This window comes from Homo sapiens, chromosome 1, assembly GCF_000001405.40.
Source record: "Homo sapiens chromosome 1, GRCh38.p14 Primary Assembly".
Classification (NCBI taxonomy): Eukaryota; Metazoa; Chordata; class Mammalia; order Primates; family Hominidae; genus Homo; species Homo sapiens.
In genome coordinates this window covers 237751736-237770694 of record NC_000001.11, presented here as the reverse complement: position 1 = coordinate 237770694, position 18959 = coordinate 237751736, and the positions used below count along the sequence as shown (strand labels likewise).

General features: G+C 36.0%; 1 protein-coding gene across 16 annotated transcripts in view; it reads right to left on the bottom strand.

Annotated features, from left to right (window-relative positions):
* Positions 1–18959, bottom strand: part of RYR2 (ryanodine receptor 2) — a 791805-nt gene that overhangs the window by 63294 nt on the left and 709552 nt on the right. For all 16 annotated transcript variants that reach the window (XM_006711802.4, XM_006711804.4, XM_006711806.4 and 13 more), the window contains 4 exons: positions 14308–14407; positions 12919–12998; positions 10843–10919; positions 9667–9740 (listed from right to left, as the gene is read on the bottom strand). In XM_006711802.4, the coding sequence (XP_006711865.1) occupies positions 9667–9740; positions 10843–10919; positions 12919–12998; positions 14308–14407 (331 nt within the window). The remainder of the gene's footprint in view (positions 1–9666; positions 9741–10842; positions 10920–12918; positions 12999–14307; positions 14408–18959) is intronic.

Genomic DNA, 18959 nt, shown 5'->3' with positions numbered 1-18959 from the left:
AACAGTCACAAGTCATAGCCACTTTTCTATCTGAAGCTCATAAGATCATGCGCTTGGCAGATAGAGGCACTTTTTCTTTGTAAGAAAAGAACGTTTGAATTTTAAAACTCAGACTTCTCTGTTAAAAGTAGCAGCATGGGTTTGGCAACATTTTACAAATGACCTAAAGGCTTAAACTTTGCTTTTTTCTTTCTTTATGTTCTTGTATTTGGCAAGGTGTACATAGAAGGGACCTTTTTCTGCATCTCTCACACGTGTTAAATTTGCTTTGTACCCGGATTATGACCAAATGATTCAATGGAAAGCATTCTGTGTATCCAAAAAAGCGGGGCCAAGAGTTTCTTTTATTAAAGAATAATTCATGGATTTTTGTGAAAGCTGTAAATCACTAGAAAATTGTTGATTAACTTGTTTTAATTAACTTTGTTATCAGGTTGACTACTGAATAAAAAGAAAGATTTCTGAAATCTAAAATAGAGATGTGACTGGTTTGAGCATTACTTCCATAGGAGGAGGAAATGGCAAACAACCTTAATTCTAAATATGAAACCAAAAGACAGACTTTGGTGGCTCGTGTTGTGAGAGCTAAAACTAATAAAGAAAGGTGAAAAGAAAGGCGTCCCCTAGTTACAGAAGTTCCTCTGCATCATCCAACACTAACAAATATTTTTGGGGCAAGGAGAAAACCTCAGAAAAGGGCTCAGTTTACTTGTATTTCAATTTAAAGGTATCTTGATCACAAGTTACTTTGAAAGCAAAAACACAAGGAAAGAAACAAACACAGAACAGCACCACACAAATGAAGCTGATTTTCAAGACAGAAAGTGTCCGTGGGGGGAAAAAAAACACTTCCACATTACGAGCAGCTGCTCCAAAATCTAAATTTGTTTAGAAAGCAAAATGACAAAAAAGCCAGTGAATGAATGGACTTACATATTAAAAAAAAAAAAAAAAAGAACTTTTTACAGAATGGAAATAAATACTTTCGGCTGAGAAAGAAAATGAGGCAATGATCGTATGTTTACTTTAAGTGAAATTATGAATGATCACAGTGACAGAGAGCTGATGGACTTACCAGTCCGCAGTCTGTGACTTTCAAAGTGAGAGGCTTCATATAATGGTAGGGTTAGGAAGCAAAACCATTTTGAAAACTAATATAAACATTAAAAAAAGTACATAAAATCACTGTACTCATTTCCCTGTTAGCCCACAAGATATGAAATTTGGTGACTATGTGAAAATCACCACGTATGCAAATCAGACGTGGCAAGTTTAAGTGTTATAGGCACATTATTGTGTTGAATCTCCCATAATTGGCTGATAAGTCCATTCCTCAGTGTTTAAATTCACGACAGGATAGGAAACGAAAGGGAGAATGTTTTAGGCAAATAAAGGCACTAAACTCTTCATTGGTGATACTTAGTTCCATTTTCATGAGTCACCTTAATCAGAAGAGTCTTTAAAGTGATATTTAAATCAAAATATTATGAGTTCATTACATAGGCTTATTGATTCTTTCCCTGTGAGCCCATCTGCAATTTTTTTTTCAAAAAACAAATCAATTCAATAAACCATGTACACACTTTAAGTGTTCATATATTCGTGAAAGAAGTAACCCTTACTAGAAAGTATTCAGAAAAACACTGAAATAAATATAATCTACCTGTGTACCTAAAAATGCTCTGCACAATGCATAATGATTTATAACATAAGGTTTTATTTATTGTCGACACACACAGTATTTTCTTGACTGTATACCGAAACACGTACAAGTAATTTCACTTATATAAGGACACACCGTACATCGCAGAACAATGGGAAGAGGGGAGGGGTTAGGGAGGGGACGAGTCAGGCCTTCGTTTACCATCAGGTGATACCAGGTATAAGCTGGGGTACTGTTGCTTAATGAAGACATTCCTATCTGATTAAAATGCTGCCATTGCCCATGCTGCAAATAAGTGGTAGAGTAACAGAGATGGATGATGGCTTTATGTCTGCAGAAGGTACAGGATCAGCAGTCTATTTTGTGATGTGTGCAAAAGAAATTCCATTGTAAGATGGAAACTAAGATCAATAACAAATAACGGAATGGAGTAACATGTAGTTGAAAGTGCTCTTACACTGGTAAATTATGATTTGTAATTGCTGCTTGAGGGCTCAAGGTACATATTGTGAAGGACATCCCTTTGGTTTCATTGTTATAAGAGGCTTAAGATTTTTAATACTGTAATAAAGGGAGAGGTATTTCAATATTGTTGCTGCTTCTGAGTTCATTCTTTGCGCCTTCATTTTCTCTTGTATAAAATAAAGATAACACGTACCCTGTCTACGTCACTGGCTCTTCATAATCTGTGGTAATTTTTTGTAAATTGTGGAAAGGTTAATATATTAGGTGCAGTGGCAATAATACTAAAAAATATGGAAACATCATGCCAAGCTGCTGAATAAAGCGATTTGAATTTATTAATTGTGTTTATATCTCCTGAACACCATCTTCATGGATTAAAATGTTCTCAAAATTACATTTTTTTCTTGGAAATAATCTAGGTAGATTTTATTTAACCAAGCTACGAGTGAAACAGTAAGTCCTATTTTAAAGATCTAATAAAGTTAACAAATTTTTAAAGGCTACTATTCTACCTACAATTGGTGAATTAGGATAAATAGACTCCAAAAGACTAACATTCTCTTTATCAGGTCCTGTCATGTCAATATCTACAATAATGCACAGGTAAAAGGTGATTCATGAAGCATAGGACTGGCCACATTAAAGGATCCCCTATAATCTATACAGTTGACTCTAAAGCACCCCGCTGCCATAGAGGAAATTATGCTGATTGTGGATCTTGAGGGGACCTTAAGATCGATTCTGCATCTTGCCAAAACTGAAAAATGCTACAGATATTTTAAAATAGTGAAAAGTCAGGTATTTTATTCCATGTGGGAAGTTTTAATATTGCTGTTTAAGCGGCTTAAGTATGACTGCTTCAATTATATTACAATTCAATTAAAAAGTAAATTTAAAAAATAAGCTTACAGTTAATATTTAGTTAGTGACTACAGTGTGCTAGGCATTGTGCTAGATATGTTATCTCATCATTTCAATTCAGGTTTATTATAATCCTGTAACTTAGCTAAATGTAATGCCATTTTGTGGTTCAGTGAACAACTGAGAAATTAAATAACCAATGTCATATAGCTATCGACTGGTAAAGAGTATGATTCCAGTAAACTTCAAAAAACATTCACTCTTCTATGGCAGGCACCTTGTGAGGTGAACATAATCTCGAACCTGAAGAAGTTCACAGTCTAATGGAAGATACAGGAAATAAACAGATAATTTCAGTATTATATGGCCTTTCTGAATTCAGTGTGCTATAGTTTCTAAATGTTGTAAAGTTACCATCAGTAACTAATAAAATCTTTGACTGATTATCATTACATATACTATATGTTATTTAAATAATTGTGAACTCGTGCTTGTTTTCATCAATTTAAGAATCAAAGGAAAACCATTGCTAGATATATGACTTTAGTCAGTTCACTGTTCTGAGCCTTCGTTTCATCATGTTGATATAGAGATGAACAAACTCCTCAACTCCTCATTTCATAGGACTGTTGGGAGAATCGAATTGGATCAAACAATTAAAAGTGCTTTGAAGTCTACAAAGCACAAAAGAAATAAATGTGAAGCCTTAGGTCAAATGACCTAAATTTCTAAGTTACAGAATTTCTGTAGGTTGTATGACAGTTGTTTGTTCTATAAATTCCAGAGTGCATTTGTTAAAATTTAGTTAACAGTCTGACAGCGTTGTATACAATGCATTCCTATTTCCGATGCCAAGACAACGAAAATGACCACTATGTGAAATAAATCAGGTTTGTCCCACGGATAACAGAATTAAAGTACATTCTGTTAACTTCTTAAACAAATTAAACTAGCTGGAGCGGAAAAAAAATCCCTTTGCTTTCAAATGTGATTGCATCTTGTTTCTCTTATAGCCAAAGCCTAAGCTTCTCAGCTGTCAAGACTCTCACTGAAATTCTTATTGTTTTTCATCCATTCCATTCATCAGCATCCTTACTGATCTCCCTGCCTTGAGACTCTGATACCTATCTCACACAATGTTGCCTATGAGTAATTTTTCAAAAGCACCATTCCAATTATCCTACTTCCCTGGTAAACAGATGGATTTCTTTAACTGTGAAAAGTCTACTCTGAAGAATTCCCTCTAATCTATCATTAGGCATAACTCAGAGCTCTCCCACTGCCATGAAGGAAATAATAATGCTGGTCACTATCTTTGGAGGAGTCAATTTCTATTTAGTAGCATGACTGAGAAATGGGAAATCTACATTGTACTGTTAGTGGAGTCTAGCAGAAGCATTATTTGAACAATAAACGTTAGGAACTCAATTCTAGGTGGATCATTTAACAATACACATAGTATCACTTAAGTGGTATTTAATGGCTCTCTGTGGCCTCAGATAAAGTGTAGATTCCTTGGCAGGGCAGAGAAGGTCCTTCGTGGCCTCCCAGGTACTATGTTTCCATCCTCTAGTCTGATCATTTTCCTTCATAACAGCTTAGTCACCATTCTCTGCCGTGTTTGGTACCTTGAACTTTGCATATGCTGTTCCCTCGCATTGGAATGTCTTTGCCTTCCTTATCCACCCCCTTGATTCCTAATTCAGACTACACGTCTCCCCCAGCCCCGCAACATCCCAGCCGCTAAGTACTTCCACCTAAATTCCTTTATATGCATAAAGCATTGTTCTGAATTTATTTGTTTACAAGTCTGTCTACACAGTACTGAGCTCCTAAATTGCTTCCAATGCCTAGGACACCATCTAGCACATAATAGTCACTCTAATTTAAATGAGCGCTTCAAAGTTTAAAAACTGCAAGGATGTTAAGAAAATGTATTTGGTGCCACGAACCAACATCACAAGTTTTCCTTGAAGAGAAAATTTACCCACAAGAATGGCAGAATAAGGTACACAGAATACTAAACTACACTTGTGAAAGTATTTGGAAAATCTTGAGGAAAAGGTAGCCCATAAATAATTAAGCAATCAAGAGTATCAAAAAGTTAGGGTAACCAATACTTAAAGATCAATTCAATCTCTTTGCTTAATCAATTTGTGTTGCTTCAACTTCACATAAATTTGATTAGATGATTATAAATATATCAGTAAGAACCTCAGTGAAACAAATTATCAGATACAGATAGAAAGGTGGGGAAGGTTAATTGGTAGTTAATGTTGTAGTGAGGATTTTAAAAAATCAAACTATTTTTAAGAAATCGGATCAACTTCAAAACTTTGTCTTGCTTTTATGAAGTCCAGGACTACCTCATGATCAAAAAAAAAAAATTCAGTATCTTCTGCTATATTCCAAGAAGAATTTTGAAAGCAGAAAAATTGCACTTTCAATGTCATAATGATTTGGTAATGGGGTTAATGGTTCTGATAAAAAAGCAAATTAAAAATCCAAGAATGGAATGACATTTTAAATATTCATACAGGTTTTGTTTTTGAATTTGATTAAGTCATTAAAAGAAAACACATATAAATATAAAATATACAGCACAGACAGCATTGAGCATATTACAAACTAACACATTTCCTGAAGAACCTTTAAAAAAAAAAAACTGGGAGGCTCAGGCTTTCACAGAAATGAGAGAAACTTAGTATAAAAAGGAGACAGAGGTCAAACTTGCATGACAATAATGGCAGCAGAAAAAAAACAGTATAAATAATTCATCTGAAAGCTGTAGATACAAACCTCAAAGAAACACACAGTTCCTCATGGCATCTCAATACCAGGTTAGGAACATTTGTAACCATAAAAAGTTCAAAAGCAATTTTGAAACTTAACAATAAATGCAAAATTTGGCAAGAGATTTGTGTCCCGGAAAGGGACAAAGAACAATAAGTCAAGGGGCAGCCAGGCGTGGTGGCTCATGCCTGTAATCCCAGCAGTTTGGGAGGCCGAGGTGGGTGGGTCACCTGAGGTCAGGAGTTCAAGACCAGCCTGGCCAAGATGGTGAAACCCCATCTCTACTAAAAATACAAAAATTAGCCAATTGTGGTGGCAGGCCTGTAATCCCAGCTACTTGAGAGGCTGAGGCAGGAGAATCGCTTGAACCCGGGAAGTGGAGGTTGCAGTGAGATGAGACTGCACCACTGCACTCCAGCCTGGGCGACAGAGCGACACTCCATCTCAAAAAGAATTAAATAAACAAACAGTAAGTCAAGGGGCAAAAAAAAAAAAAAAAAAAAAAAAAAATGCTACCTAAGGCAATGGTAGACATGAAGTAAGCCCCTGAAGAATATGAACAGATGGGAGGGAAGTGACTTCACTCGTGGGATCTGTAAATTAAACAGTGGGAGGCAGAATGCCTGCATTTCAGTCTCAGCCTTGCCGCTTAGCTGTGTGACCTTGGACAAGTCAAGAAACCTTTCTGTTCCTCTGTTTCCTTATCTATAAAATCAAGGTAATAGCTACCTCATTGGAGGGTTGCGGGTATCAAAAGTTCATGCATTTGAGCTTATACGTTTTCCATGGCTATATAATTTATGGTCATATTGTCGTCATTAGGAAGAGACTTAGCTTAATAAAAACAGTGGGCAAGGATGTAGAAGATTCAGGTACAACAGATTATTTTCTCAGTGCTAAGCCCATGCTCTCTGAGCCTCAAGTGTTGAAGCAAGTGACATCACTAACAGATGTTGCTTTTTCAGCCTTTTCTATCCCTTCCAAGAGGGATGATTGATTTTTCTTCTCCTGTGAGTGTATGTAGGCTTTTTTAACTTTTACAGAATCTTAAACAAAAGAGTGATCTCAAAACAGATATATTTAAACATGCCAAAAGTGTCTGTATAGGAATTCTTAAAACAATCTGGAAGATACTGTAATATTAATAGAGCTAATGAGTGGCCCTTACATATGCTCCTAATAGGTCTCTTGATTAAGGCAATAGCATGTATTCAGAAAGCACAATTTAATCTTGGAAGCCTTGTTGGCGTCCTAAGTACTATCTAAAATCTCATCCCTTATTTCCACTGCATAGAATGTCTTTCAGAAACTACTTTGAATTACTAATGGCATCTTTGCTAGTATATTAGTTTGAGGAGCAAATAGTTGCTATTGTTTCTACTGCTCTTTGAATTCAGTCACAAAAATAAAAATTAGTTTTGATGTTAAATGATTTGTAATCTGTCAGATTTTCAAAGGAATAGAGGAAAAACTCAGTAGGCCTCCCAATACTTGGAAGGCAACTGGCAGAGCACACTGGCGAGGAGGAGACTCAGCTTGTCACGTCCTCCTTGAATCTGTCACCGATTTCCCGTGCACCAATCAGTACAGCCATAAAGCCACAGCATGTTCAAGACAGAAACGCCACAGGGAGACTAGGGCACACATTCTAGGATCATTCATTGACACAACAGTTGCAGACGCTGGGCCCACCAGAAAGGTTTTTAACTGAAAAGCAACAAAACCAATCCGAAAATGTAATTGAAATGCTTGTTGCCCCTTCATATCTGACATACTAATAACTGTACATCCTCATAGAAACAAGAAAGAAAAGGAGGAAAGCTAGATGTGTAAATGTAAAAAATAACAGGATGCATAATGATGGAAATTAAATAATCTACTTGTTAAAACAGTCTACAACAAAAAAGAATGCACGGAAATTGTCACTATCAAGTCTGTACACAAAGCTAACAACAAATAAAGGAGCAAATAAACAAAAGACAGTTCATTTTTAATAATTACCACGCTCATGAGTGATGACTGAGGAAGGGAGGGTAGTACATTTACAGTAGTCGAAAGAAAAGGAAATGGGGAAAAAGAAAAAAAGTTGAGATTTTGCTTTTGTTTTTCTGTTTGTAAGGAAATAATACAAAACGTGTTAATCGGTTTGAGTAATTATTTTCTTATGTGTTGAAAAAGAATGCACAAGTTAAATCAATCTCCTTTTGAGAGATATAAAGAATTCTCACATCAGAATGGTCACTCTCACAAAGTTCTTTCTGACTTGGGACTCGAAAATGTTATTCCAACCCATATCCGCCTGACGAAGGAAAGGAGGCTGAGGAAAATAACCTAAGTGGCTGCTATTCCTTTTGGGAGCTGATATGAACAGCGACTAAGAATGACTATGGATTTGCGGTAGGAGCCCCTGGAACATTAGGTAATAACTACAGGGGAAAATGAAATTGATTTCTAATTCCAAGACAGGGAAGTCAGGCTTTGGACAGAGACTTCATTCATTTTTAGAAATTTTATAGCTGAAAATTGCTTAGGACTTTGGAGAGATGCTGGAGGTAGGCAGGTGATAGGCCCTGAGATCTGCAGTGGCTCCAAGTTCTGCAGATGGGTCCAGAAAACCTAAGTCGGTTTAGAGTGGCACTGGTGACTTTTCTCAAAGGTCTGGCCTTCTGAACCTCAGGCCAGAACCTTAGGCCAGAAAACCTAAGAAGTTATAGAATGGTGTCAGTGATTGTTCTTGAAGGTAGCTAACTCAGTTTAGTAACCATATGACTTATTTTTGTTGACTGCACTTGTACATCCAAATGTCAAGCAGAAAATAAAATAAACACGGGAGCCACATAGTGGTAGCAATGTCAGAATGGGTATTAATAATAAACTTTAAAATACAATAAGAAATGTTGTTTTTCCTATTTGTGAGAAGAAAAAAATACATAGATAAATTAGTTAATCCTAAAATATTTCAGAGAAATAAACATAGACTACAAATGGCAGATGGGAGAAAAAATTATTTTTTGAAATAAGATTAGTCCAATAAAAGACCCAATGTTCCAAAACTAATAATTGACAAGAAGACATATCCAAACCACACAAAACAAACAAAAACAGATAAACATACGGGGCCCTGAGTAAAACTAGTTTAAAAATCAAACACAAAAGAATAAAAACAAATCAAACCAAAAACTACTGAAGATTTTTTTCTTAATAAATACTGCTAAAATGAAAGGGCAGCAAAGGTTATTTCTGCTTTAAATGCATTGTATGCTAAACTTTCTAGTTTATACCAGCATCTATTTAGAGAGAGAAAAATTCTAAGATCACGTGTATCTCTGCTTTTGTGCACAGAATTATTTAAGCGAAATAACTGGTCTCTAATTTCTTTCATCAATCTAGACTTGCAAACATGTATGGATTTGAGGATCACTGTGCTGGAAGGGAAGAGGAGGGAATAGGAATGAGAGTAGACTGAAGGAGCTCAAAGGATCACTATCCTAAGGAAATAAAAGAATCTGAGAGCCCGACTTTGCTAAAGTGGCCAAAGAAAGTCAAATGTTCTTGAAAGGTTCATCTATGTGGTTTATGATTTCCCAGAAAATTCTCTAATAAAGGATCTTGATCCTTCATTCAACCATTATTCCTCATTGAAAACCCAATAAGGGGAAAGGCAGCTGGCAATGGGGCTGGCACACAAGGAGTTAATGACCGGCGTGGAAGGTTGGTTTTAGGGTGTGACCGGTGTCCAACTATGAACTTTGAAATGAGTCATGTAAGCATTTCATCAACTTTAAAATAACTTCTTATCTCTCTACTTGAAAGGTAATTGATAATTGACTCGTTTCAGGGAGGGAAGGGAGACAGGTGATCCTTTTAATGTAAGTCATTAATACCTGATCCTTCCTCTGTCACCATCCCAAGACCTTCAGCTTTGTTTTGTCGCTCAAATGCATTTAGGTCAAGGACACTATAATAACAAGGGAAAAAAAAACATTTAGAGGACTAATAGAACATTTTCTTTGCTCAGGAGAGCAAACATCTAAACACCATATATCTTGGAAGATGAAGCAAATGTTAACGTACACTGAAAACATGTCTCCATTCATTGCGTACCAACCGTATTTTCTTAGTGGCAGACTAGTGTCTCCCCTGGGCCTACACTGAAATGATCCATGTGAAAGTCAAACATGAAAGCATTCTTAGGTTTCAACATGGGGAGTACATTACAAAGCCAGCAGATGTGCAGAAATAAAATTCTAATAATTATGTTTTTGCAGTTGGAATAGCTTCTTACATTAAATGTGTGTCAGATTCCTTAGTCAAATGCTGTCTGAATGATTTTAAATCTTGAAAAAAAATGGAAAACGATTACCGCAAATGAGTTAGTGATCATTTAGTCACAAAATGAGAAATGGCCTACAAGCTCCTAAATAAAACTAAATAGAATTTTCTTTTTTAAAAAAGCATACACAACTCATTTTCAAGTATGCAGAATATACGCTAATTCTCCAAGATCCCTATTTAAACACGGGGAAGGCTTTTTTTTTTTTTTTTTTTTTTAAATTAGCGACAGGGTCTCACTCTGTCTCTCAGGCTGCAGTAGTGGCACTATCATAGCTCACTACAGCCTTGAACTTCTGGGCTCAAGAAATCTTCCCACCTCAGCCTCCTGAGTAGCTAGGACTATGGTACAGGTGTGTTGCCACCATGCCTAGCTTTTTTTTTTTTTTTAATCTTTTTGTAGAGATGGAGTCTTGCCCTGTTACCCAGGCTGGTCTTGAATTGCTGGCCTCAAGGGATCCTCCTATCTCTTCCTCCCAAAGCTCTGGGATTATAGTACTATGGGAAAGCTATTTTAAGACATTATTACCATTCTGTAAGTTATTAATTATGATATTACCAACCCCTTAAAACAAGATAGAAAACAAGACACTGCCGATTATCCCACTTTAAAGTGTTGTTAATCATTAACTATTCTTCTATGTGCAATTATCGTCAGAGTAAGAAACAAATGCTTCGAAAAAATACAACCACTGAGTAGAACCCCCAAGAAGGAAGTGAGTCCTTACCTACATGACTGCATCAGGCCGGCCAGGCTCTGAAAGAAGCCCACATCCTTTTTCTCCTTGAGGTAGTCAAGCATTTTCTATGGGAATTATAGAAACCACGTGGCCACTGAACAAAAATCTTATTGTTTGTTAAATAAATAAACAACCAAAACAGGCTTTCCATTCTAGAATAGACAGAAAATATTCACTGCGTACAAACATGACTAATGCCATCTTTATCATGAAGTAGGAACACACCTCGAAGCAAGATAGTTACGCAAACTTGGAATAAGAGGGTTAGTTGCCTTACACATCACCACAAGCACCAAAAATGTCAGGGGTAATATATTACTCTTAATTCTCTCCTGGTCACTCTTAAAGTAATTTGGTGATTCAGATACTCTAGTGCAAGTTAACTGGGAAGAAAATTCCTATAGATGTTATTCACAGGTTTCCATACCAAGGTGATGTCATTAAACAGCATTACAGGCTGGGCGTGGTGGTTCACACCCGTAATCCCAGCACTTTGGGAGGCTGAGGTGGGCAAATCATGAGGTCAGGAGTTTGAGACCAGCCTGACCAACATAGTGAAACCCCGTCTCTACTAAAAAATACAAAAATCAGCTGGGCGTGGTAGCATGTGCCTGTAGTCCCAGCTACTCGGGAGGCTGAGGCAGGAGAATTGCTTGAACCCAGGAGGCGGAGGTTGCAGTGAGCAGAGATGGTGCCACTGCACTCCAGCCTGGGTGACATCTCAAAAAACAAAACAAAACAAAACAAAAAACCCCGAACAGCATTACAATCTGAGAGTTGTGACTGCCATATGCTAATGCTATAGACGGAAATTCAGTTTCCATTACCATAGTCTGTAAATTGAAAAAACAATAGGAATCATTTGGCTATTAAAATGTTCTCCTTTGTTCTCAGAATGACGTCCAGAATCTATGGTCAAAATTTTGGTTAAACATACATGTAAAAAAACGCTAAAGCAATGCTTTGTCTTGTTAGCTTACTGTTACATAGCATAACGAAACAGCTATTTCTGACATGGTTAAAATTTATTAGAGATTTCAAATGTAAAAGCACATACAAGATGATAGAAAGCATGCTCAAAGGTTTAAGGAAATAAGAATACTGCTTCTCTACAAATCTGGAAGAGCAGAACAATTCCTGTTATCAATGCTGTTCTAAAAAGGGCTCAGTTAAGCAGACTAAATTTTAGTAGTAATCTTTTTCAGATAGCGAAGGCAATACAAACTAAATATGTAAAGGATACATATGCACAAAGTATATGCACATATGCATATATATATATACGCACAAATGCACAAATAGCAAATATACACGTAGTGTAGGTATGATACACAGATACACAGACACACATATATACGCACATAGACACAAAACCATATAGCCATTTACGGGGGGTGTGATAACTTTTGGTCAAATAAAAAATGAAACAATCATTGTTTTTTTTCAAACAAAGGGATGTGGCTTGCAGGATCAAAGGAGATGGTGGGATATATATTTGAAGTTATAAAGAAAACAGACAAGTTCCACATAGACAAGAAGTATACATTACAGGATCTCTCACTCCTGTCTCTGGATCTAAGGACTTCTGAATATACATACTAAGTAATGAGGGTCTTCTTAAGTAAAACATAAGCAGGAGACATTATTTTTTGATAAATGTTTTGGAGAGATTAAGTGTTTTATTTTTTCTTTTTTCAAAGCTATATAATCACTTATTCTGGGAACAGAACGAGCTGGTTACCCCTGCCAGGTTCCATAACCAGAGAGCCACAGTTTGGTAAACGCATGGTGAGAGAGTGGTTCATACCTCAGCACCAGAATTCATTTGACATGATAAAAGGTCACACTTGATGTTTTCAGATATTTTGACATCATTTTATGTTTGGATTTGTAACACTATCACATAATTACTTTTTCCCTCTTTTGCTCTCTCTTCAGTACTGTGGTAAACTAAAATTGAGCCATATTGTACATAGAAAATAAAACATTTTACAACAAATAGTTCTTTACTATATGGTCCATTTGTCTGAAAAGTACATTATATGAATGACTGGAAGCTGTTACCTGCTGTACTGTGGAGTTCCCACCATTTAAAATAGCAATTCCAAGTTTCAGAGTAGCTGCTACCATTGGTCCAGTTTCACCTAAGAAATATAAAAAAGTAGTGTTCCTTATATCATTTCGCCTTCTATATTAACCTATTCTACCTCCAATGCTGCACTTTTAAAATTATTATTATGCCCCCCCAGGCAATCTGTTTAATGGCATAGGGAGACTGACTTATGTTCCAAAAAATGCTAACATAATAATAATGCATATTTGGCATCAACATTTTTAATAAATTCTCTATAATATCTAAGAACTGAAACCATAAGAAGATATAGAAGTAACAGAATAGGAAGACAACTGATTTTGAAATATCGAGACCTGAAATTATTAAGATTCAAGATTAATTATGTGTTTAATAAACATTAAAATAAGTATGAGCTACTTAAAAGTTTCTTTAAAGAAAATTTCTCTCCCTCTTCCCTCAACAGTATTATATATGAAGAACTTTCATCATTTTCATTGTATCACTTTTATTTTAATATGTTTGACATCTGGTTTATTAGGCAGACTATTCTCAATTTTAAGTAATTCGGATAATAACAAAATTTTATTTAGTGTAACATATTTCATTTTTCATTGTTCACTTCTATTTATCCTAGAAATATAAATAATCTTCTATTCAAGGACAAGGGTACCTAATAACAGAATGTACCACCATTACTTTTCCATTCCATTACAAATTATATTTAAAATGTTTTCACAAAGAAGCTATTATGAATGTACAAAAAATCATCTTGAAACAGCTGGCTACTGAGATATATGACAGCATCTTAATTGTTAAAAAAGTCTCACTTTAAAAGTCTCCATATTTGTATCAAGAGTCAGCAAACTATGGCAAAATACCATAAATTACATAAAAAAATTACAGCTTGCCACCTATGTGTGTAAACAAAGTGTGTGTAAATAAAGTTTTTTTGGAACACAGCCACGCTGTTTGTGTACTTATTGTGTCTGGCAGCTTTCCTGCTAACATGGCACAGTTGAAGAGCTGTGACAGGTTGCATAACCCTCGAAGCTGAACATATTGACTCTCCAGCCTTAAAGAAAAAGCTCGTGCACCCCCATTTTATAGGATCAGTCTGCTAAGGTTTAGTTATAACATAGTTTCCAAAACTTAAAGAACAGAATGAAAATGAATCTGTATAGTAAGACTCTGAAAAAAAAAATTAACATTGGTCTCCGTAAACAATGAGAGCTCGTATTTGTGAATAGGCACCTGATATAGTCATGAACCAGAAACCCCAGGACTAAATGAGTCAGTGGAATTGAAATGAGGGAGGACCTTGAGAGCAACGAGGAAATCTGAAGAACAGACACTCGTGAGGGGAACTCAAGGAACCTTACCTTTGCTGGCACTGATTGTCTGTAGCACCATCTCAGCCGCGCCACGATCGTGGAGTCGGGCTTGCTGGTATAGAAGCTTTTGCTTTTCCATTTCTTTTTCCTGAACACAAATCCCAACCATTTATGTTGAGGGTATCAGTAAGCACAACAGATTTCTACAGACCATATTTTTAGTCATCTCTTCATGTATGGGCTCTATGACAACATTATGGACCATTTCAACACCAACGATGTTCTTCAACAGATATTATTAACATATTCAACTATTGTTTTTTTTTCCCCCTTTATAGTTTTCTTGATATGTTTTTGGTACTGGTTTATCAGCATGGATTTTTTTTTCTCAATTTTAATGATTTGATTCATTCAAAGCCTGTATCACAGTTTTGAAGTACTGTACTTCATCAATGAAACTTGCACTTTCTGATTTATACATTTGTGCATAAGTTTGTCACGTTTTGAATAATCTCCCATGCCATGGCCATAACTTGATACTGCTCAGCAAATGGCTCGAGTTGCAAAGTATCACTGAATCACAGAAAAACATTAACTGAGATGTCTTGAAGTTTAAGTAAAATTGAAAGCTGATATGAATCAAAAGGTAGGCTTCAACGAAGTAGTGGATTTATGATACAGATCTCCCCAGTCACCCCCAAAGAATAAGAGATGCAATGTGCCTTTATATTTTGTATTCTCTGGTGGTAACAAACGATACTGCATGGTACTGCTGGAGCAATGGCTGGAGTTTATTCTTTTCCACTTAAGCTACCACTGAAAACATAAAGAAGAAAATAAAAATAAAATATAAAGGCACAGCAAGTTCAAGACTGGTATGACCATTCACTTGAGCAATCCAGTTCACTGGAGAATTGAGAAGGAACTAAGCAGTATAAGTTGCAGAATGAAAGTTGCATAGAGCCCTATGACAGTGAGTCCATCAAATGGCGTGGTAGAGAAGCTTAGTCAATGGGACATGAAACAGTCAATTAGTATCATGTCCATAAACACAACGGCCAAAACATATATGACCTAAGAGCAGGAAGAGCTGCAGCAGAGGTAGCCAGAATGACAGCTTTGCTGCCATAAACTTTCCATCCAAAATACAGAAAATAGACACTGGAAGATGGAAGAGGTTTAAAAAATGAAGGCTTGCTAGTTACAGAATATGAAAAATAAAGTGAACTAAAAGGAGGGGGAAAAGAAATGGGCTCAAACAAATGAAAAAAGAAACCTTTAAATCAAAAGCAACCAACACAGACATTTATGCTGTTACCAGAGAGTTCTCGCCGAGGCTGGCAAATTTGTTTCTTAAATCTTTGATAATATCGTGCTGCGAAAACAAAATTGATCAGGGTTTTTTTTGTCACACTATAGTTAGCGCTCCTGTGGTTAATTTTATGTTTTCTTAAATTATGTGATAGGCCTAAATGGAAGCAGAGAAAAGAAAAAAAAAGAGGCAGCTTTGCTTTATATGTAGCCATGCTAACATCTATAAGGTTTGCCTTCATGTTTAAACCTCTTCCTGTGAAGTCAAAAACAAAACAGAAACAGAACCACACAGACACACAAAACCATTTTGTCATTACAACACAGTTTCAGAAAAACTGAAAGAGGACCCTTTCGTCTGCTCTTCAGGTGTTGTTTAAAACTGATGAGCAACATCTGATTCTTCCTTTTAGACCCAACAATCTTTTATGTTCCTCCCATTGCCAGAGCTCCATGTGGAACTTTCGCTTAAAGCTTAACCAGCTCCTTTTGTGAGAGAGTTTTTCAGTAAGAAAATGATAAGAAATTATTCGCTCATGAAACTGTCCTATCATTTTCATCAACTAAAGAGGCAAGGGAGTCAGGAAGAAGTTCTTCTATTGACCTAATAGAACACATAAAGACAGTCATCAGGAAACTCACAGAAGATGGAAGATGGCAACATGCCACACACTCTTGAGAAAAAACAGAACAAAACAACAATTTGCCATTTGTGCTCCAAAAGGGGGAAGATCAGTTAAAGACCTGCCAGAACAACTTGCAGTGTAGCCTGTAAGGTCCCGGTAACCTAACTGAAATCAACACATGATGTATGAACCTTACAAGGACCAAGAAATAGACAGGATCTCAGACTACCTTGCTTAAAAATAAACTCCCTGGACAGGTCACTCATTTTTTTTAACATCGCATCTAAATTTTAATAATCAATGTTTTGAGGAAGATGATGAAAGTCATTTGAAAAAAAAAAAAACATTGAGCCAAAAAGACATACTGATCTAGACGCAGAAAAATACTGTATTTCATAGAGATCAAGTCAACCTCTCTGTTGAATTTATTCTTTGTTGAACTGAAATTGGAAGCTCTCCCTTCAGGATTCTTTAATATTATTTCTTTCCAGTACTTTGCCCTTTGAGAACAGCTTCTGGGCATGTAATTTAATCTGTCATAGGGAAAGTTTATTATAAATTAAAAAAAAAAAAAAAACTCTGAAAGCTAAACCAGAAAATTTTCAGATACTAAGATGAATTATGTAAAAACAATTTTTTAAACTGCAGATTAGCTTTTCTAAACAAATTGTAGATAGATCTTTTATAAGCATCTTACTCAGGAAAATAACACCTTGAAGGCACCTTTTCAAGAATAGAGTTCTCTGACACAGCAGCTTCTGCTTAAACTGCCTAAGGCTCTTAAATAAACACCACCTGCAGTTTAGTCTTTGTGTTATTTCAAGGTTATTTCAAGGTTACACAGTAAGGTGAGGAAAAAAAGAGCAGCTCCAGAATTTAAATTTTCCCTTAGGCAAAACATTCTGATTGCCAAGAGCAACCAAGAATTATCAGTGCATATCCTAATAAGCTTGTTAGGAGGTTTTTCCAAGGTCGAATATGGTCATATTTCAGACCCATGTTCAAATCACTGGTAATGAACAGAAGTATTTTACATCATGATTTGCTTTTGGTTATAACTGAAGTTTGTAATAACATTGCTAATATTATTTCATTTTGTCTAAGAGTGTGTCAAGCTTTTAACACTTGGGGAAACAAGTAGAAAGGCTTGAAGAGAAACAACTATATTTAGTTCTTCGACAACTTGTCTTATGTGAGAAAAAAATATTGAAATAAGGGGAATTACAATTGTCCCTTGCTCGTCATCGATGGAGAAAATATTAAGTTGGTGCAAAGGTAATTGTGGTTTTTGCCACTGACCTAATAGTTTATCTTTGTAATGGAGATGAAAAGATATTTTAAACCAGGGCAGCCTGGTTACAGGAAAGGAATTTACATTGTTTCTGAAGGACCTGCCTCAGCTACATTGACCTCTGGGGCAGAACCTGAGCGACTGACAGGCTGAATCTACCAAATCTATCATCTGTGCATCATACAAAATGAGCCCATCTACTTTGTGTTCTTTTGTTTGTTTGTTTGTATTTCCATGACTTCAACAAGTGTAGAAAAGGTTTTCATAATATTTTCCTCAGAAACTGTAGGTGGTAGCAAGTTATAAGAGAATAGAAATATCCAGGAACAAAACTCCTTAAATTTCCCATAATTTAGTAACGTCATAAGTCAACATGAAATATTTTTAATTGGCATCTGAGAGTTACGACCTACAAGGTGATGTTGAATATCAATATTATACGAAATAAAAAGACAGAAAAATAGAAGATTTAATTGGATAACAATGGGGACAATGAAGAAAGGGAGTGAAATTGTACTAATAATTTGGTTTGCAGCACAAACAGGTCAACTCAGACTAAGGGAAGTCAAAAGTATGGATAAGAGACAACTTATCTACTTCAATTATTTTTTTCTGTTGTATTTAAGTTCTTGAAAAATGTAGATTAGCTACATTTCTGTAGAGTTGACTCACAGTGATGGGAAAATACTAAGACTACAACTTTGTTTAAAACGAGTGGTTCCTAAATTTTCTTTTTTTTTTTTTTAATTAAATAAATGAGCCAGGCATGGTGGCTCATGCCTGTAACCTCAGCACTTTGGGAGGCTGAAGTGGGAGGACTGCTTGAGCCCAGGAGCTCTAGACCAGCCTGGGCAAATAGCAAGACCCTGTCTCTACAAAAAACTAAAAATAGCCAGGCTTCGTGGTGTGCACCTGTAGGCCCAGGTGGGAGAATCACCTGAGGCCAGGATTGCGCCAGTGCACTCCAGCCTGAGCAACAGAGCAAGACATTGCCTCTAAATAAATAAATAAACAAACAAACATGAAGTTTCCTAGAAGATCCATGAAGAGAGCGGGCTTTCTTTGTTTTAACCACACCAGTACACACATACTGTACATCCAGTACAGTTCTCTGAAAATAATAGGTATTCAAGAAAATTTGCATGAATAAATGACAGAACTAAATGATGTGATATCCTATAGTTTGTGATCACAATCTAAAATATTACAAATGTTATCTTTTTTGTTTGAAGTGCTACAAAATTAGTAGCTCTAAAAGTTTGTCTTTCAGTTCATGTTTAAAGAGGTCTTCAGAATTATACATATACAAATAATAATCAAATTGTGGGCTTTAGCTCATTTAATTTTTTGTTCAGATCTTTCATCATTATCCACTCTCTTTATTACTGATCTTTCAAACAGTGTAATGATCTTCCAGAATTCTGCTTCTTGATAGGATAAGCAAAGTTTCTAATGCTGTCTCTTTAACACTC